This window comes from Homo sapiens, chromosome 13, assembly GCF_000001405.40.
Source record: "Homo sapiens chromosome 13, GRCh38.p14 Primary Assembly".
Taxonomy (NCBI): domain Eukaryota; kingdom Metazoa; phylum Chordata; class Mammalia; order Primates; family Hominidae; genus Homo; species Homo sapiens.
The window spans coordinates 51,597,604-51,619,033 of NC_000013.11; the positions used below are offsets into that span (position 1 = coordinate 51,597,604).

The 21,430-nt window shown below is 38.7% G+C and overlaps 1 protein-coding gene and 1 pseudogene across 6 annotated transcripts in view, besides 2 other annotated features; both read left to right on the forward strand.

The window, feature by feature from the left end:
* The window catches only part of WDFY2 (WD repeat and FYVE domain containing 2), a 183,248-nt gene that overhangs the window by 13,142 nt on the left and 148,676 nt on the right, over positions 1-21,430 (forward strand). The gene's annotated exons all lie outside the window — the stretch shown is intronic.
* ATP5PBP1 (ATP synthase peripheral stalk-membrane subunit b pseudogene 1) lies at positions 837-1,857 on the forward strand (annotated as a pseudogene).
* Positions 16,783-16,842: an enhancer, noted in NCBI's record as "active region_7776". NCBI's record gives its function as "activates an Ori minimal core promoter by ATAC-STARR-seq in GM12878 lymphoblastoid cells {active_cell/tissue: GM12878}" and the evidence as "EXISTENCE:reporter gene assay evidence [ECO:0000049][PMID:35858748]".
* Positions 16,873-16,962: an enhancer, noted in NCBI's record as "active region_7777". NCBI's record gives its function as "activates an Ori minimal core promoter by ATAC-STARR-seq in GM12878 lymphoblastoid cells {active_cell/tissue: GM12878}" and the evidence as "EXISTENCE:reporter gene assay evidence [ECO:0000049][PMID:35858748]".

The window sequence follows — 21,430 nt, forward strand, 5'->3', positions numbered from 1 at the left end:
GAGGTTAATGATGGCAAAAAATCCTGGATGGATTTGCAGAGAGAATGGGATCAAAATGGCAGAAACATTTAGTTACTTGAAATGGAGTTTAGCTAGGAGATTGCAACAATTTGAAATAAAATAATCATAGTACAAAAGAAGTAAGGTTTTAAAAATGTTACTTATTTGGTAGTTTGTTTCCCTTGAAGAAATTCTGAATATTTGAATGAAAAACAGCAGGTAGAAATAGATACTAGCATTTACATTTACAAAATAATCAACCTTGGTGGTTTTTAGTTGATGGTACATGTATATGCAAAATTCAGAAGGCTATGATGAGTGAAGTCTCCCTCCCACTCATGGGTTTTAAGATTTTGTGAAAGGAAAACTGATAGGATTTCCACAAGGTCTAATATATATGCCCTGATATGGATCTCAGTGGGCATTTCTGCTTCAGCTGTGTTAAACTTTTCCCTTATAAAACTGCTTTGGCAGGGGCAGGTGTGGTGGCTCACGCCTGTAATCCCAGCACTTTGGGAGGCTGAGGTGGGCAGATCACCTGAGTTCAGGAGTTCGAGACCAGCCCGGCCAACATGGTGAAACCCTGTCTCTACTAAAAATACAAAAATTAGCTGGGTGTAGTGGCGGGCACCTGTAATCCCAGCTACTCGGGGGCTGGGGCAGGAGAGTTGCTTGAACCCAGGAGGTGGAGGTTGCAGTGAGCCGAGATTGCGCCACTGCACTCAAGCCTGGACAACAGAGCGAGACTCTGTCTCAAAAAAAGATAAAAATACAAATAAATAAAACTGCTTTGGGAGGTCAGGGTCACAGGGATGCTAAGATTGCTGCCTTGTTACTTTTCTGCTTACGCCACAGTGGACCCCTCTCTGAAAAACACAGCCCTCCTAGGTGCAGGGGGCATGCAACAAGGATCTTTCACACAGGGCAGCCAAGTCTTACCCCTCTACCTTCTCTTCCTGAATATGGAGAAAAGTTCTTGGCCTGATCCCTAAGGAATTCCTCATTTCTTTATCCTAAAATCACTGTAATAGGACTATGTGTACTCGGAAATGGGTTTATCTTGTATTCTCTATCCAAAGAAATATATATGGTTATGCCGGAGAATTTTGCTACTATATCAATGGTAGGGTTACTTGTCTATGTAAATAAAAATATTCTCCTCTATTGGAGAATTTGCTGATGAACTCAATGAACAAAAAATTGTCCAATTAGAAGAGGTGAAGCAGGCTTTCCCCAGACAAATTCAGCACGAGATTGATTTGGAGAAGTCACAGCAGGCACTGGTCCACAAGTGCCATTTACTTTTTTTTTTTTTTTTTTTTTTGAGACAGAGTCTCGCTCTGTCACCAGGCTAGAGTACAGTGGTATAATCTCGTCTCACTGCAACCTCCGCCTTCCAGGTTCAAGCGATTCTCCTGCCTCAGCCTCCTGAGTAGCTAGCACTGCAGGCATGCGCTACCATGCCCAGCTAATTTTTGTATTTTTAGTAGAGGTGGGGTTTCACCACGTTGGCCAGGATGGTCTTGATCTCTTGACCTCATGATCTGCCCACCTCTGCCTCCCAAAATGCTGGGATTATAGGCATGAGCCACTGCTCCCGGCCTTAGAAGTGCCATTTACTTTTTTGACACCCAGAGGGATAACATTGCTTTGGCCTTGGAGGCTACTTACTGAGAATAGCTGCATAAAGTATAGAAGGCTATAAAGAATTGCCTGGACTATCATATCTCTGTGCAGACTATTATGGGAGAAGCACAAGGTGCAGAGAATCTCTGCACAGCAAGAAAAGGAGACATTTGTGAAGCGCATGGCACAGTAAAGCTGCTCACAAAGAAGGCTCAAGCACAGCCAGCTCTATTAATGTATCTATCCCAGTTGAGACAGCTGGAAACAGTTGACTGACTAAATGGAAACTAATCTATGTAACAACATGTTTTTGTATTGCTGTCTGCTGAAGTTACTGTATATGTTTCCTAAAAATGAAAAGTTTGAGTTTCATGTAGTGAGAGAACTAAGTCCATTGGCCAGTCAGATGTTTCTCACCCTTCTTACTCTGGACTTTGAGTTGTTCCAGGATCACTTTTGAATAAGGAGCTTACTTTTGTTAAAACTTGCTGCCTTACTAAAGATTATAAGTTATAGTTTAAATTTGTAATTAATTCTGCCATCTTGCAATAAAGTGACAATTGAAACAAGGTTTTCCAAGTTGCATAATTTTATGAAGTACTATTCAACTTTTGTCATGTGGGTGAAAGTTAAAGATGCCATTGAACTACAAAACAAACAAACAAACAAAAAAAAAAACAAAACAAAAAAACCAAAAAACCAAAACTGCTCTGGGGCTTGCAGTGCTTGCATGTGGCCACTGTGACACAAAAACCTTCTTCCTTCCTCCTTCTCCCCTACTTCTCCCTCCCTCATCTCCAGATAGCTGCATTCCCTTAGCACACTCTTCATGTATTTATTAAAGCACTGCCTCACATTGAAATTATTTCTCTTCTGCCCTGTGGTCCTTATCATTGTATCTCTCAAGACCTCTAGATCAGGGCTGAGAACACAGTAAGTAAAATTGAAACAATATAGGTTTGTGTTGTGTATTAGGTCACACTGAGGGAGAGAGTTACTTTGAAAATCAGTTGTGTCCTAATGATATATAATGATGGAGTCCCTTAGGTTTCTTTGATACAGAAACCAGCTCTGGCATTTCCTGGTAGGAGACTCAAGTATCTTGCAGAATCCAAGGGATGCATTTGGGTCTTGGGAATAGAACTGAAGACTGGAGCACATGGACAACCAGGAAGTCTCTTCTCCCTACTGCTCATCGGTTTCTGTGTATCTGCCTCATTCTTTCTTGCTCACACTGGCTTCCTCTGTTTCTTTCTTAGTCCACATGGCATAACATGGCTGCCGGCTGCTCCTGAATTTTACATTACAGTCTAGATAAGCAGGGAGAGATTGATCTCAGACTCCCAGAATTGCGGAATTCCTTGGGAAGGAACCTAGTGGTCTGGCTAGGGTCAGCTGTTCACTCTGGAATTATGGCCAGAAGTAGAGTCATGTTGCAGGGATATGGCAATCCCCACTGCAGTCTGTGGATGGGGAGAGGAGGGAAGGGAGGAGGGGCATGTCTCAGAAAGAGAAGAAAGATAAGCAATCCAGTAGGTGCCCACTACTGGACCCTATGGGCATGAGATGAGCCCATGCCCTTTTCGTTGGTCATTGCTTTAGTAGTAGCGGAATAATGAACACTCACAGACTCTTGTGTTTCTCCTGACCTTCATTGCTATTTTCCGTGAAGTCTGCTCATATAGCAGGTGACATGTTCAGATGGCCATTTTCTCATTGCTTTATTTGCTGATTTGACATGTGGACTCTTTTCCTGTAGTGAATATAAGATGAAGAATGGGTAGGTATTTCAATATGAATGTTCTGAGCAAAAGCCATTGTTATGGGACAAATTTTAGCACTGGTGAGTAGACCCCATATGATAACCATATTTTCTAAACTCCAAGTAAAAACACATGGCTCAACAAAATATTTTTTCTTCTGATGGATGAAATTATTAAATTGCATTTTGTGATATATTTAATCAACTGAAATCCAAAAAATAACATGAAACTAGACTGCCAAGCATATATGGGCACAGCATATATCCTATCTCAGGGAGGAAGTGGAAAAGCCTCAAGTATATTAATAGTAATTAATACTAGGTTACTCTTTCTGAATATGTACCATCGGCCAGACACTGGGTTAATCTGTTTATGTGCCTTTTCTTATTTAATTCTAAAAATGATTGTATGAAGTTAGTAGTTTACTTTTTTTTTTTTTTAGACATAGTTTTGCTTTTGTCGCCCAGGCTGGAGTGCAATGGCGCAATCTTGGCTCACTGCAACCTCTGCCTCCGGGGTTCAAGCGATTGTCCTGCCTCAGCCTCCCGAGTTGCTAGGATTACAGGCACCTGCCACCATGCCCGGCTAATTTTTGTATTTTTAGTACAGACGGGGGTTTTACCACGTAGGCCAGGCTGGTCTCCAATACCTGACCTCAGGTGATCCACCCGCCTTGGCCTCCCAACTAGTTTACTGTCATTTTAAAGATGTAGAAACTGATGCAGCTAGGAAGAGGCAGAGTGGGGAAGGGCACCCTGATTCATCGGACTCCACGCCCCTTCTACTCCACCTCACGATACAATGCCACCTCTCCATGAGGCGCTCTGGAAGAAGATGCAGAGGCATGAGTGTGGAGCCTCCATGGAAATCACAACAGGCTGAACTTGTTTTTCAGAGGAAAAGCTAGCAAGTCAGCTAGCCAATCAACAAATGACAATACAAATTAAATAGAAGAGGGCAGATACCCCTAAGACATTCCTTTTAAACCCTTGCAACTCCCTTCTTTACTTGCTGTGAGTATTGGCATTACACAATTGTAGATATGACTTTGAGTTATATTAGGAAAAGCTATGCATTTATTGTTGGAACAGGGTCTTTGAGGAAGTACTTAAGAACTGGGTGGGGCTTTTATCAGTGTGGCCTAACCAACTGTAATTAATGTGTTGCATAGCAACATTTCTATCAACAACAGACTGCATGAATGACAGTGGTCCCATAGATTATAATGGAGCTGAAAAATTCCTATTGCCTAGTGACATTGTAGCCATCTTAACATTGTAGTGCAACTTTTTCCGTGTTTAAATCCATTCAGATACATAAATACTTTCCATTGTGTTACAGTTGCCTATAGCATTCAGTACAGTAACATGTTGTACAGGTTTGTAGCCTAAAAGCAATAGGCCATACTCTATAGCCTAGATATGTAGTAGGCTATGTACCATATGGGTTTGTATAGATACACTCTATGATGTTTGCACATTGATGGAATAGCAACTGTACTAGTTTATTTTTCTCACATAACAAAACATGTGGAAATAGGTGCTCTTAATCTTTTTCTTCTCCATTATCCCTAATATGTGGCTTTCATCCTTGTGGTTGCCCCATGGTTGAAGATGACTCTTTGACCTTCAGCTTCACATCTGCTTATAAATATGTCACAAGACTACCTAGCTGCAAGGAAGGATGAGGGCATTTGTTCATTAGTTGTTTTTGAGCAATTGTAGTTTTTTAGCTGAGCACATTGATAATTGAACACATTTGGATATTGGAGAGATAAATGACTAGTATGACCTCCCATGAGGCCTTTGGTTAGGGGAAATCCTTTGTACTCATCTGACCAGTGTTCATGCTTTAAGCTTAGGAGTAGCTTTTTCTCCAAATGGGTTCCATTTGCATTTTGTATCCTGTAAAAGTGTTTGTAACTCTTCCCCCTACTCCCAGCTCTGCCCCTTCGCTTGTATTGCAGGATTGCCTTTGCTGCTTGGAACATGTTTCCAGATTGGACTGAATGCTGTGATCTAAATCCTTATACCTGGGGACTTGTGGTTTCTTGAGTTCAAGCATATAGGCCTGGGACTTTTATGACTGATACAAAGTGCTTTGACCATGGACCACCATAAAGTTCATCAATTAATACGGCAAATGGAAATGCCAGAAAGATTGCCAATTTTTGACTGCCTTTAAGAACCACCAGGAATCATTCCTTTGCTCTTCTTGTTTAGACACCACATATTGAACTGCTGGAGGAATTCGTAAGAGCCCAACCACTGCATGTTTCCTACTAACGTTTTTCTTCCAGAACATCTGTAGTAGAAGTTCCCTTGTGGGGCATTGGGTTCCCTTGTGGGGCATTGTGAGGTAGTAATGCCTGGTAGGGCCTGGAGCAGCAGGAGCCTCAGGGTTGTGTGCTTCCAGCTGTTAGAAGCCCTGGTTAGTTCCTTGGGGTGCTGTAAAAGGGTGAGAGGCACCTCTTTGGGGATACTCATGACTTCTCATGTTCTGTATACATCAACCTGGCCATACTTTCTCTGTGACATTTTCAGCAAAATATTGAAGGATGTTTTCTTTACATTCTAATGTAAGAAATTTGCCCGCAATTTAAATCATAGACTTTTTCTTGGGCTGTTGTCAAGCATTGTCTTGTAGCAAAAGCAGCATGGAAGAAGGAGTTGTAAGACCTGAGTTAAAACCATGCTTTTCCAGTGTATACTTAATTTTTCTGAGGGCCACTTTCCTAGTTTACAAATGGGAAGAATAATGCTTCCTTCTTCATAGGATTTTGGTAAGAATTAAGCAAAATAATGGATATGAAAAAAATCTTTGTAAAGCTTTATTATTAGGGGTTGCTGACTCATATGGCCTTAGGCACAAGGCAGGTAACATAAATGAGTAAAGTGGCATGCTTTACCTGGGTATCAGAAATATTATACAAGAGGGAGCAGTGGGGATTGTGGCAACTGGAGTGTTTGCCTAGTGAAAGAGGGCAGCAGCTTCTTGGCATTAGCTGATGTTTGCCATGTAGGAATGCGGACCCAGTGTCTCCAGATCACTGGATTTTTCCAGAAGTGCTAGAAATCAATTTTTGTGTGAAATATTTACATGTTTAAAGTTAATGCAAAAACATTTTTTTTAAACTCTACAGGACCAAGCATAGTATTAATGCACGCTGGAGCCAGTCTTTTGTGCTGTAAAGGATAATTTCTTTAGAAAATAATACATGCCAATTTGTAATATTTATCGACAAGGTTTCCAACTAGAAAAGACATTTCTATCTCAGTGACCTCCCTCATCTTGCCGCCTCAGAAATCTCTGCTTCAGATTAGCCTCTGAATGAGTTGAGAGAAACATCTATGATTCTGCTTCTGCCAAACAGAAACTCAGAGAAGAGGCCATTTTCATGGGAATCAGACTATGTCTTGATTTTTTAGTCAAGAAACAGGAATGTCCCCAAAAACCTAAGGAAAGGGCAGTTTATTATGAGCCTACAGAGTAACTCCTGGAAGCCAAGTTCAGAAGGTCACTAGACATTATGAATGTCAAGGTTTGGGACAGAGAGACTTGAGGACTATGTAGGACAATGCTGTCCCGTATGGTAGCCACTTGCTACATGTGGCTATTTGAGTTTAAATTTAAATTAATTAAAATTAAATAAAAAATCCTTCAGTGGCACTAGCCGCATTTTAGGTGCTCAGAAACCACATGTGGCTAATGGCTACCATACTGAACAGTGCAGATTGTAGAACATTTTCATCATCACAGGAAGTTCCATTGGACATTGTGGATAGAGTGTCAGGGGACATAAAGTGGGAGGTCTAGTTAAAGGTTAAACTAAATGATGGTGGTGCCTGAACTGAAGGATTGTCAGGAGGGCACATTGAGAAGGATTTCAGAGTTACTGAGAGGTAGCATAGTTCAGGGATTAAGAGCAAGGATTGGGTCAGATGGTTCCTGCTTTACCTTTACTTAGCTGTATGCTCTCAGACAAGGTACTTAAGGCTCAGTTTCCTAGATGATAAGTGGGGATTATTGAAGCCTTGGGGATGGATGCAATATTGCAGGAAAATAGGTAGAATGAAAAGAGAGGAGGGTGAGACAGCAATCAAAGAGAATGCCGCGGAAGCTGGCACTGAGGAATGGCCATCAGGGAAGGCCTTGGAAAGAGATGGGTGCTCACTGTGTTTCAAAAGATGAGTGGATTCTGGATCTCTAAGTTGATCATTGTCCACATATGGACAGCACATTGGATCAGGAGCGGGCAATGGAGTCAGACCTGGGTTCAGTGTCACCACTTTCTAGCTGTAACTAGATATGCAGCAGTTAGCACGCAACACCCCATTACCTGGACCATTGTTTTCTTAGGTACAAAATGAGGATAGAAATAGAATTTATCTCAAAGTTTGTGAGGATTAAGGGATATAATTCATATGAAGTTGTAGTAAGGGGCCTGATAAGTGGTAAATACTCAATAGATGTTAGTGTTTGTTATTAGAATCCATCCTTGAAAGGTGAAAGTTCAATAGAGTATCATGGTAGACATGGGTTGTATAAATATGAAGAATTTTCACCAAATATATATTATGAAAATACCCTGTCAGAAATTTAGAATGTGAAAGAAATAATTTTGGTAGAAATGGAAAGTTTCACATTACATAATTATTACCCGTGAAACTTATTACCCAGAGCTTTGTAGAGAAATAAGTTTAAGTAAAGTTTAGAATTTTGAATTCATTGATGATATATCCACACTGCGTGATGAAGGAGAATGCAAAGGGTATTTGGTGCATCTGAGAGAGCATATTAAGATTCAAGAGCCATTGTAAATGTTCTCCTTGGGGACGAATGGTCACATGCCTTATAGGAAATGGGAAGAGGACTTTGCCAGCATTTTATTATGATGAGTTGCTTCCAGGACAATTCGTCTTTCATTGTCACTGTATGAGATTTTCCTTCTCTTTCATTCTAACATCAATCGCAGTTAGTCTCTACTCACTTTAAATAAAAAAGCACAATGCAGAGATGGCAAAAGGCAGTGTTGGATGGTGAAGAAAGCCAGTAACATCTACTTGGACTATATCCCAGCTCCTCCACTGACTAGCTGTGGGACTTCTCTCAGAGAAATTAAGTCATTTTAGAAATGTGTCATGGTGTTGTGAGGATTAAAGGACAAGTTATATGTAAAGCTCCTAGCACATGATAGGATTTTTAGATATTACAGAAATGCTTTAATTCAGTTGGTATCTCTAATTCAAAAATTTCGATTTGATTTTTGTTGAGGATTTTGTGTACCTGGTCTCAAGTACAGCATCAGGCATGTTGTAAGCACCTCAGTAACTGTGCATTAGATTAATCCAAGAATTTATCTAACTCTTTGTATATTTGGAGAAGAAATTACCTATGCTGTTATTTCTATTGCTTTTTTTATCTAAAGTGATATATCCAGGTTAGATGCTTTTATAACTAGGTATTTGGGAAACAAATATTGTAAATGGGAGCTATTATAATAATCCAGAACTTGGATTTTAAAAGCAACAGTGTGGAAAATTTACCTTTCACAATGAAACTGGCATTTGACCTTTTATTAACAAATATATTTTGTTCATATCAATGGAATATGAACAGCAATGTCACAACATGCCTATACATGCAATATTGTAATAAGTAAATATTATTGTATTTAGAATTGTATTAGTTAAAAAATTGCAAATGTAATAAGTCCTGGAATGCACAGTATGTCACTGTATTTTCTGCTTTATAATATAAATATTTATTTTATATAGTAAAATGGAAAGACATTTTCCAGTGTTGTCACTCTTAATTTATGATTCATACTGCCTATCTAAATAACAAAATAATAATTTTTCACCATGTAATTCTAGAGGTTGCTAGTTTCTTTCTCATTGAATGGACAAGATAATTTATCTTGCTGTAATATTCTGTGGCAGAAAGCAGTATCCCTTCAGTACCAGCCGTCACTTGTTCAGTGACTTAAGCTATATGAAATGTAACTGAAAACCAGAAAATAAACAAAAATAACCTCTAGCAGCCAAAATGTGGCATAAAAACTCTGTTCCCTAAAATTTGTATGCTTTTCTCCTCTTAGAAACACCCTTTAGATACTTATATACTGATACCATAACATAGCATATTTCATTGATTCAAAAATCTACAGTTTTTCACCTTTAAGTATCTCTGAAATCAGGGTTAGTGACTTAAAACAACAATCATAATTTGTGCAAAGTCCAGTGAGTTGTCTAGGGGAGGCTGGGGTAGCTGGCATGGCCATAGTCTCCTTCCTTTAGTAGACTTGCTTGGATGTGTTCACATGGTAGAAAGGCAGCAGCAAGAGGCCACTTTCAGTGCACCAGCACTTCTCCAGCCTCTTCAGATCGTGTTTGCTAATGTCCTGTTGTAGAAATAGACTGCCTCTTGATAAGAGGAGGACTCCAGTCATGTTGCCAAGGAGTGTATATCTTGGGATGGGAGAGATTTCTGAGAACATTTTTGCAAACAATCCACCATGATATTACAAGAAATATCAAAGTTGAGTGTTTTTTTTTTCTTTCTGAGTCATACATAAAATAATGTATCTTATCATCAATGGCATCTTAGAGTTGATAAAAATATAGTCTGTTGGGTTTCTAATTAAAACAACAAAAATTCAATGTAAAAAATAAAAATAATATAGAAGTATCAGAGTGAAAGTACTCCCCTGCTCCCATATGCCATGTCTCAGAACTTAGCTGCACAACAGTTCAGCAAATACTGTTGTGATAGGCTGAATGATGAGGCCCCCCAACATGTCTATGTCCTAGTCCCCAGATCCTGTGATTATGTTACATGTAAAAGAGATTTTGTAGATATGATTAAGTTAAGGATCTTGAATGGGGAGATCTTCCTGGACTATCAGGATGTGCCCAGTATAACCACAAAGGTCTTTGTAAGAGGGAGGCAGAAGGATTAGAATCAGAGAGGACAAGGCAACGTGTAGATTGGAGTGATGTGGCCACAAGCTAAGGAATGCTGGAAGTCTTTAGAAGCTGGAAAAGGTGAGGAACAGATTCTCCCTAAGTGCCTCCAGAGGAACCAGCCCTGTTGACACCTTGATTTTAGCCCCTTAACACTCACTTTGGACTTCTGACCTTCAGAACTGTAAGATAATATATTTGTGTTGTTTTAAGCCACAAATTTGTAATAGTTTGTTACAGCAGCAAATGGAAATTAATATATTTGTTTATTTAATTTTTATTACTTTAAAAGAAATACATGGTTATTGGCCAGGAATTCAAATAGAATCAAATGGTAGAAAGTAAAATCCCCTATTTTTCCTCATGAACTATTCCTGCATCCTATAGGTTACCACTCTTAACATTTTCATATGCATTCATTTCTTCAGAAATAGTCACGTTTGGCTGGGTGTGGTGGCTCACGCCTGTAATCCCAACACTTTGGGAGGCCAAGGCAGGCAGATCACCTGAGATCAGGAATTTGAGACCAGCCTGACCAATATGGTGAAACCCTGTCTCTACTAAAAATACAAAAATTAGCTGGGTGTGGTGGCGCATGCCTGTAATCCAGCTACTTGGGTGGCTGAGGCAGGACAATCGCTTGCACCTGGGACATGGAGGTTGCAGTGAGACGAGCTCGCACCACTGCATTCCAGCCTGGGTGACAGAGCGAGACTGTCTTAAAAAAAGAAAAAGAAAAAGAAACAATCACATTTTATTTTCTCATTTTTGGACAAGTAAGATTATATCAGATATGCATATTTTGTTCTTCAACTTGCTTATTTAATTAAATATATTTTTGAACATATTTTCAATCAGAATAAATTGATCTACCTCATTCAGTACCACAATGTATTTTACCATTTCTCTATTAGGGGGCATTTAGGTTATTTCCAGGGCATTTTTTCTTTTCGCCTTTTTCTGTTATCAACAATGCTTAAATGAACTCTCTTCTACAAATATCATTGGCTGTCATCTACAGATGTAATTGCAAGCAGTGGAATTGCTACTTGAATGTTGTTGTGTGTGTGTGGGTATGTGTGTGCATGTGCTGAAGTGAGAGTAGGGGGAAGTGTATCTTCCTATTCAACTCTTTGCCTATATGTTATTTTTAACTTAAAAAAATTGTGAAATATACAGAAAAGCACATATGACATAAATGTATGCTTCAATGCACTATTGAAAAGTGAACACTCATATAATCACCATTCACGTCAAGAAATTGAATATTGTTAGCACCTTGTATACCCTCTACTGATCACAACTCCCAGGAGGGAAGCATGGTTCTGCCTTTTATTTCCTGCTGTTATTTTGAATAGAACTCTAACAAACTTGGTCATGTGTCTTTTTAGTCCTCAAAAGATTAGATTTGTGAAAAGGGCTGATTAGGGTATTCATAATAATACAATCAAGCATTGATAGTTGACCTTGGAAAAAGTATAGAAAGTAGATACAAGAACTAAAAATAAAGTGAGAATTTGGGACATTTAGTGTTGGTATAAGCAACCCTCTCTGCAAGACTGTAGCTCCTGGGACAGGATGCCTCCTGTATTTAAGGCATCAAAAAACAAAACAAAACAAACAAAAAAACAATAAAAACCCCAACCCCCGCCCCCCCGCCCTCCCCAAAAAACCAGGTTAACATATGTTTAAGAACACAGGAGAATATTTTAGAAAGGAGACCATAAAAGTGATTAAAAGAAAAAAAATAGTGTTTGAAAAGCTATCTGCTTGTTACCTTGAAAATTCAGTGTGAGAGATTGCCTTAATGTACTGAGATGTCAAATATATGCATCTATTATATGGTGCATTAAGCAACCCCATCTTTATCTTTAAAAGCTAAATTGATTCTAAGGGAAGTTCCTAGGAGATCTGATTTAGAGCAGCCTTGAAGGTCTAGTTCTTAAGTCTATTCTGCTTTGTAAACTCCCTGGAGGAGTTCTTTCTGATCAATGCTGATTGGTCAAAGATGGAACTGAAACCTCAACATGTATGATTCTTGTCTTTCTTTTTCCTGATTTATACCCAAGTCCAGAGGGTAGCGCTGAAAAAGGCAAGAATGAGCTCCTTCTCTATGAAAGACTTGGCTAGGTTCTGGGGTTGGGGTGGTGAATGTGTGGAGAGGGGTGTGCATAGATGGAGAGTCTCATCCCTCATCTGAAGTGGCTTAGAGCTGGGAATGCCTTTTGAGTTGGACTCAGAGTTATCATCTTTGCTGATTTTGCTCCCAAACTTATTTGACTGTTTTTTTTTTTTTTGGGGGGCTAAAAGCCCACCATCTATCCCTTTTCGTTGATGATTTTTATGAATATAAAGTTTCAGGGATTTGGGAAGCATGAAAATAATTAAAATGGAAAGTTTAAAGGAATAGTAATGAGTATTACATATTTATAGTATGAAATTTCCTTTATTGTATGAATTTGTTGTATGAATTTTTTTGTATGAAATTACTGGAGAAAATTCTTTTGACTAGTACCCAGGTGATGAATATTAGATTAAGCACATAAATTTCATTCCCATTTTTAAGTTGTATTACTCTAAGGTATCATTTAACTTCATTTGAAGAGTAAGACAACCAAACCCTCTTTGCATCCAGTAATGTTATCTTGTTTAGTAAGGATTGATATGAATGTAACATTTACTTGTAAGACTCCCAGATAAAAGTATAATGCCAAATCTACTATCTATTAATGGACAACAGTCATGAAAAACATCCACTGTAGTCTGCTCTTATGATTGATTCTCTGGTTGTCTGTATTTTGTGTGTATTTGGTTGTTTTTATACTATAGATATTGCCGCTATTTTAGTTCTGCCCTTTGCAAGTGTCATTTTCAGAAATGATAGCTGAAAGGTGGCCTTCCTCTTTGGCATTCATCTGGAATTGGGGGGAGAAACAGAGGAATTTGAGTAACTCATCCTTTGCTCTGTTGGTGATCACCTGTCAATTTATTTCCCCTAGATTCATGATTTTATTTTTGGGTGGTATGGGGAAGTAAGAGAAGTAAACAAAAACCAAAGTTATTGGAATTAATTAAAAATTACATGTGTTCTGCTAATTGGAGTCCAGCTTATGCTAGTAATTAAGAATGCTTGTCTCCAAAAGTATTTATGCAGTTAAGTGTACAGTGTAAGCACCAACAAGGCAGGGATTTTGCTCTGTTCACTGATGTATCCCCAGTGCTTACATACTGCCTGGTACATAGTAGGTGCTCAGAAAATATTTGTTGAATGTAAAATGGAAGTATGTATTGACTGTAAAACCTATTGCTGTTGCTTCACTTGGTCAATCTGCATATACTTGAAGAATATGTATAGTCACAGTTTTTCAAAACCTCACATTTTACTGTGTTAGAAATGGTGGTCATTATAGTTTGCTATTTTGTGATTTTTTTAAAAAAAGAATATCCTTTGTTTTCAATGAATTTATTTTATCGTTGAGATTTTGCCTCAGCATACAACAAATCTTAAATGAATAATAATATATTGGATCTATAAAGCATTTTATACTTTGCAGTTTTTTCTTGCTTTATCATTTGATTGTCACTATGGTACTGTGAAGTAAGGGGTTCACAACACTGTTGGTTATCTGTTCAGTTGTCTGCTTCATTCTTTCTTGCTGGTCGAACCTCAATTTTGTTTAGGTATTTACCCCTACCTCATACGACTCAGGACTGAATCCTGATGACTCCAAGTCTGTTATGGTAAATTCATTCCCTTTGCCAGGGGTTTGGTTTAGGATTAGGCATGAGACCCAGTTCTGGCCAGTGATAGGAGCAGGGAAGTCTGCTGGTCATAAGGAAGGAGATACCTCTGGGAAAGGAAAGTTCACTCCCTTCTGGGAAGAAATACACAGGAATGATCCCTGTTTTTCTGCTGCCTGTTGTCATGACTGAATGTGACTACTTGGAGCTACAATCATGCGCACATAAGGAAAGGTAGCCTGAAAATAAGTTGACTGGCTGAATATGGCAGAAAAGAAATATGGAAAGAGCCAGCCGTCAAATGAACCAACCCTGGAGCTGCCCTACTGCTTGACTTCTTCTTACCAGACAATACATTTTCCTTATTCTAGTTGAGAGCATCCTAATTCATATTGATATCATTATTACCTTTTACAGGCAAGGAAACTGAGAATTACAGAGCTTTACATGGAATGATCATCATTAGATGGTGAATTCACTTGTGAAGCTAGGAGAATTAAGACACATACTGATTTCTAGTCTATGGCCTGCTCCACTGTGTAGCTTCTCTATAAAGCAGCCCTGCCTCCCTGTTTAGGAGGGAACTGGATTACCAAATTTAGGTATTTATGTATGAAATCCATTTTAGACAGTTCCTAAGTATTTGGTGATTGATTACCTATGACAGATACTGCTTTGGAATTCTTACTGATATCTTGTTACCAACTTTTCTTAACTTGGCTGACATAAATTAGAACTTTGAACACTTTCAAATTGTGTTTCAAATTAACACTTAGAAGTCTTTTTACAATTAAATTTTTTTTACTGTTTTATAGGTACACATTTCAAAAAGTTTGTTAAGCTCTGTCTATGCTTGTAGATACATATGCCAAAAAGTGTATTAAACTCTGAGAAGTGATATAGTCCATTTGTAAAAGGAAGTATTAAAATAATAACTAACCAATGCTTTGGACTAGTTGGGAATAGGGGATTTATGTCTGGCTTTGGCAGTTGTATAGTTCTTTGTTAATGTGGAAAGTTTATGGTTGACCATATACATTATGTTCTGTGCATTGTCCTTCTTTGTTGACTTTCTTCTCTGTTTTCTACTCTATTCTTTCTCCACCTTCCTCCCCCTTACAGGTAGAGGGTGCAGAGATTGTGATCAGTAGCATGTGGTATATTTCTTCTTATTACAGAGGCAAATCAGGACAGTGTTCAATGTGAGTAAGGGAGTTTATTCATAGTTGAAAAATTCAATTTAAAAATATCTGATGCCATGTGAAAGACACTTTGGTGGGGGAGGGTTAGGTGTTTTTGAAAAGAAAATTATTCTTGGTGGAGGCCGTGGTGGCTGATCATGAAGAAGCTGCAGCCATGTGCGGTGGTGCATGCCTGTAGTCCCAGCTACCCGGAAGGCTGAGGTGGGAGGATCACTTAAGCCCAGGAGTTTGAGGCTGTAGTGTGTGATCATCATGCCTGTGCATAGCCACTGCACTCCAGCCTGGGTGACATAATGAGACCCTGTCTCTAAAAAATAAAAAAAAAGAAGCTGCAAAGATGACAAAGCTCCAGTCTCCTGGAGCTTACAGCATATGCCCCCCATCTCCCCTTCTTTCCCAAGCTGAAATGACTGCCATCCTGGAGAGGACCTCTGTCGAGGGCTCAATCTGCTCCTCTTGCGGGGCTTTTGCTCATTCTTCGGTTCTGAGAGGCTGGCTAGCTAAAGTGAGGACTAAAACAGGACTACATTTTGAGATTGTTCTTTCCAGTAGTAGAGTGGTTAAATAGTTCCATCAGCTTGTGCATTTCCTTCCTTATCTAGTGAAATACTTTGAAGAACATGATTTTGGACAGTGGTGGGTCTTTCCCTGGGCACATTCTGTAATATTTTCTTAATTCTTCATTTCAAGCTACAAGTGAGCCCAAATTCTTGGGAATGGATTAATGACAAAAATACATACTCAGTCTTGTATAATTGTTAAGAATTCCTTCTTAGCTGTGATTTTTTTTTTCGTGGAAAAGTCTTAGATGCCTAAATTTTATGTCACAGCTAAAACAAGCCATGTGGTGTGCTGATAAGGGTAATTTAACACCAAGTTAGCACAGGTGACACCATATGTTGCTGATTACTGACTTCTCCTTAAGGGTGTTCTTGAATTTTGTACTTGAAGTGTTTAATGATTTGATTTCTCCTTTTAAAATTAAGTATGTCTGTGAATAAGGCCAGGCGTCCCATGTAATCATGCCTGTAATCCCAGCACTTTGGGAGGCTGAGGCGAGTGGATCATGAGGTCAGGAGTTTGAGACCAGCCTGGCTAACATAGTGAAACCCCGTTTCTACTAAAAATACAAAAAATTAGCTGGGCCTGGTGGTGGGCGCCTGTAATCCCAACTACTTGGGAGGCTGAGGCAGGAGAATCGCTTGAACCTGGGAGGCAGAGGTTGCAGTGAGCCAAGATCGTGCCACTGCACCCCAGCCTGGGCGACAGTGCGAGACTCGGTCTCCAAAAAAAAAAAAAAAAAAAAAAAAGTGTATCTGTGAATAGAGAACTTGCCTTTCAAACCAGCATAGCTGTTCTTCAAGGGATTATCTCAAGCTATGAAAATGAAAGGGTTGTTTTAAAATTTATATGAAGATGTTGAGTGAACCCTGATATATAGTTTAGATTCTAGATTTTGCTGCAACGAACAGAAAACCTGACTCATTCACAATGTCTTAAACAAGTAAACGGTTATTTTCCTTTTATACCAAGAAGTCCAGAGGTGGGCATTCTAGGGTTGGTCAGTGGCTCAGAGATGCTATCAGAGACCCATGGTGCTGCTGCCTTTCCATTCAGCCATCCTTAGTGATCTTGTCCCTTTGAAGCCTCACGATGGCTGCTCTCCAGTCAGCATTGCATCTGCTTTCCAGGCAGGAAGGAGGAGAAGGGCAGATGGCAAAAGGCACGTACCAGCTGTGCCTGTTCTCTTTCAAAGAGCTTCCTGGAAGCTCAGTTCAGTGACTTCCGCTTACATGTCATTAACCAAAACTGTGTCACATTGCCACCCGTAGCTGGAGACAAGGCTGGGAAATGTAGTTTTGGCCGGGCACGTTGTCACCCTGAACACAATTGGAATTCTGTTGGAAAATATTTTAAAAAGAATTATGTGTCTGTTGTCTCTAAACTAATGGGACTCAGGAGGAATGAAATAAATGAACATTTATTGAAAATCTACACTGGGTGTTTTGCTGGGTTCTTTGAGTGCCTTAGCACTCTGAGAGATCATATACACATTGATGTAAAAGAATAAAGTAAGCTCAGAGTGCACATAAAGAGGTAAAAACACGGGGTTAATTGTATCCTTTGTGGGTGTGTTCTCTCAATTGATTTATTAAGCTTGGAATTAGTTTAAAAACTATCTTGAAACCCAGAAATTATAATGGGAAATTGTGACTAATTTAACCATATTCATATGTTGAAAGCCAGCATTCATAAATGAAGAGTTAGAGAGGATATTTGCAACACAAGTTGAAAAGTCTTAGTATTCATAATAGATTAAAAGCCTCAAATAATATAAAAAAGCTAACCCTATTAAAAAATAAAAAATATGGACAGGTAGATATTTCTCCAAAGACAACATACAGATAGTAAAAAATAAAGTTGGAAACAAATAATTAAATCAGTGCAAATTAAAAAAAAAACACTGAAACATCATTTTTTGATTCCCAGATTGGTAAATATTTTTTAAAATAGATAATAAGGATCTAAGGAGAAAAGGCACTTTTCATATATTTTGATAGTACTGTTGATACCATCACTTTGAAGAACAGTTTGGCAGTACCTGTCGATGTGAAATATACACACCCTTTGATTGTTTAACAAAGGCCGTTTAAACAGGCCCACTTATTGGGACAAATTTTACTTCTTGGGATAAATCATGCATTGCAATTAAATAAAAATGTGGAATAAGCTGAAATGTCCATCAGTAGGGACATGGTTAAATAAATTATGTTATGACCATACAATACAATTATTAACTAGAAAGCTGTTAAGTAACGACTTTGCAAAGTAATATGTATACTCTTTTTGTGACACCATGTCTCTTTCTTTTAAAAAAAATCTATGTATGCATATAAAGGAATCAAGGTAAGAGATTTGGTTATTTTTTACTTTTTATACTTAGGGGTTTGAATTTTTTGCTAGGTGAATTATTCTGTGTGTGTGTTTTGCAAGGATGGATTTCTATTTTTTAACCAGTAATGACTTTTTAAAAAGCAGAATATTCGAAAATAAAAGAACAGGCCACATGTGGTGGTTTTTGCCTGTAATCCCAGCTCTTTGGGAGGCCCAGGCAGGAGGATCACTTGAGCCCAGAAGTTCGGGACCAGCCTAATCAACATAGTGAGACCTCATCTTTATAAAGACATTAGTCGAGCTCAGTAGTGCATGTTCCTAGTCCCAGCTACTGGGCGGACTGAGGTGGGGGGATTGCTTGAACCCAGGAGGTCGAGGCTGCAGTGAATTGTGATTGTATCACTGCGCTCCAGCCTGGGCAACAGAATAAGACCCTGTCTCAATGTGAATAAATAAGATACTGTATAAATTCATGATTCTCATAATGCCAAAATTCAGATAGCGATTTTTATGACTTGTTTTCTGGGAGAGGTTGGGGAGCAAATGATATGGCGGGGAGAAAGTCTGGAATAATGAACAATCTGAATTCTAGAATATTGGAAAAGAAATGCTGTCTTCTTTTTTTCAATTACCTAGTACTCACCTGCATCAGTCAGGATAGGCTAGGTTAAATTGCAATAACAGGTAACTCTTAAATCTCAGAGGCTTTTAACCCAAAGATTTATTTCTCACTCATGGTCGTTGATTCTTGAGAGTTCTGTGTGATAGGCTAACTGAGGCTCTACCAACTTGAGCATTTCCACTCACCATGATAGGGGAAAAGATTTGGCAGGTCCTGCACTGGCTTTTAAAGACTTCTGTCACCCAGAAGTGACACACGTTTCTTCCACTTATTCTTCATCAAAGTTAGTCGCATGGTCGTGGCTAAATTTAAGGAGGCTGGAAAGTGCTATCCTATCGTGTGCTTAGAAGGAGGAGAATCAGAATATTTGGTGACACTTCAACAGGGTACTATGAGATGAGTTACCATATGTAAAGCTTTTAGAATAGTGCCTGGCACATAGTTCTAAGTGTTTTTATTTTTAGAGATACAGTCACTTACACCAAGCTAGAAGAATTTCTTAAGAAATACGTAAGAAATGGTTTTCTATTTATTAAATCAAAAGATATTTGTTGAGTTCATGTCATTGTGACAAAGCTGTGAAAGATAAAATGATTCGTATATATTTAGGAGAGATTTTGTGAAAACTTTTCTTAAATTTTTTGAAAATCTCCCCCACCTCTCAAACATGTTTATTCCAATTTTATAAAGGAAATTTCTGTGGAATTTTGGTGTGCTTATACAAAACTCTTAGTGTTAACTCTAACAGAACTCTAACTTAATCTATTTAATAAGAATTCCTATTTCTGTTAGCCATCAGATGTGTTTAACAGCAGTAACTCCTTAGGTCTGCTTCTAGGTTTGGCTGAGTGGGAAGTTTCATTCCATTATGAGAAAGGAAATCTTTTTAGATCCTTTATATATGAAGTCCAAGTACAGAATTCTTTTTCTTTTTTTTTTTGAGATGTAGTCTTGCTTTGTTGCCCAGGCTGGAGTGTAGTGGCGTGATCTCAGCTCACTGCAACCTCTGCCTCCTGGGTTCAAGCGAGAATTCTTTTCTTATTATGATGTTCATCATTCAGTACAAAGTTGTCCTCATCTGGACATCATGAAGTCATTCCTCCCTCTCTTATCTTCTTTTCCCCCATAATCCTCTGTTTTTTCATCCTTAACTGTCCTCAAGGACTCAACTCTTGACTGTAAGTTTCATTGTGTTTTCCCATAAATGAGCAGATTTTTCAGGCCTTCAGATTCCTTAGGGTGGAACATCTGTAAGACAAACAAACCTTTCATCTGCAATCCAGGAGGAGGTGGAAAATTCCTTCTGAGACTTTAGTAAAATGGTGAGTTAAATCTCAAGAAATTTCAAGTCATATGTCCACAGCCTGCTTTATTTGAGATGCGGGCTAACATTCTAGGCCTTGAATTTTCCACACTTGTTTGATTTATTGGTTTTATTTTTCTTTAGCCATTGACTGCAAAAAGCTAAGTCATTTTCATATTTAAAGAAATTCATTTACAAAAGATAAAGCTGCCCATTTGTTTCTATTTACTGTTAATTTCAGCCATCATTATTCAGCAGCCTTGGTCTAACTATAGATACTAACATCTAGTTAAGAGAGCCATCACACCTTTTTTGATGTAGACGTACACATTAATGCCCAAATTTGAGATACCTGTTAAGTACAAGTGACAAGCATTCTATTTATTCAATACAATTTTATGTCATTATCTTCAGGCCCCCTGTTGTTAGCACTACATTTTGGCAGCACTACCTGAAGCATATTAGTATCAACACTTCTTTAAGAGAGTACAGGAGAGAGAATTTGTATTTTTTTGAGCACTGACTATGTGCCAGTGCCGTGTTATGACATACCTTGTTAGAAGTTTGCTTTAGGCTCACAGATGGCCTCATTTCTCCTACTAGTAGCAATGATATTGATAATAAATGGAGAATTGACAGTTTGGTGCTTTGTCTTTCTCTGCTAGCTTCTGAGCCTGTTGAGTGCAGGGATTGTATCTTGTTCTGTGTATCCACAGTGGTGTGGCACAATGTGTTATTAATAAAATTAGTTAATGAATGCCTGTGTATGTGGATGAATAAGTGCACAAATGAGTGGACATAGAATCAGTTATACCACCTGGTCCCTTATCTGGATAACTTTATAATTAATGAATCTTGAAAATGATTAGTGAGTGTTAAAGGGTTTCCTAATTTATAGAGTATAATGCAGCTTGCCTACCTTGTATAAGGTGAGCCTACCTCTTCCTGTCACTCATGACACCACTGCAAACCCTCATTGCTATTATGTTGCATCACGGCCTGTGGCTAATTAACCTATATTCTCACAGATTGTTGCTGGGAATTTCTCTGAACACAGAACATCTCAGTTCTAGAAGATGGGAGGTCTGCCAATGCAAAACAATAAAGGCTTAGAGTCCTTCTCCCTGCCTTTTGCCATTGTGAATAGTGGAGGAGGGTGTGTTGAAGAGAGAATGGGCAGTACCACATACCTTTCATCAAGCAGCAATCACAAGACTGCTGGAGCTCATCCACCTTTGCTAAGGCTAGGGAAGTGAACCAAATCTGTGATCCCCTTTGCTGCTCTGAAAATGCTATTACTCTAATGGTGAGCT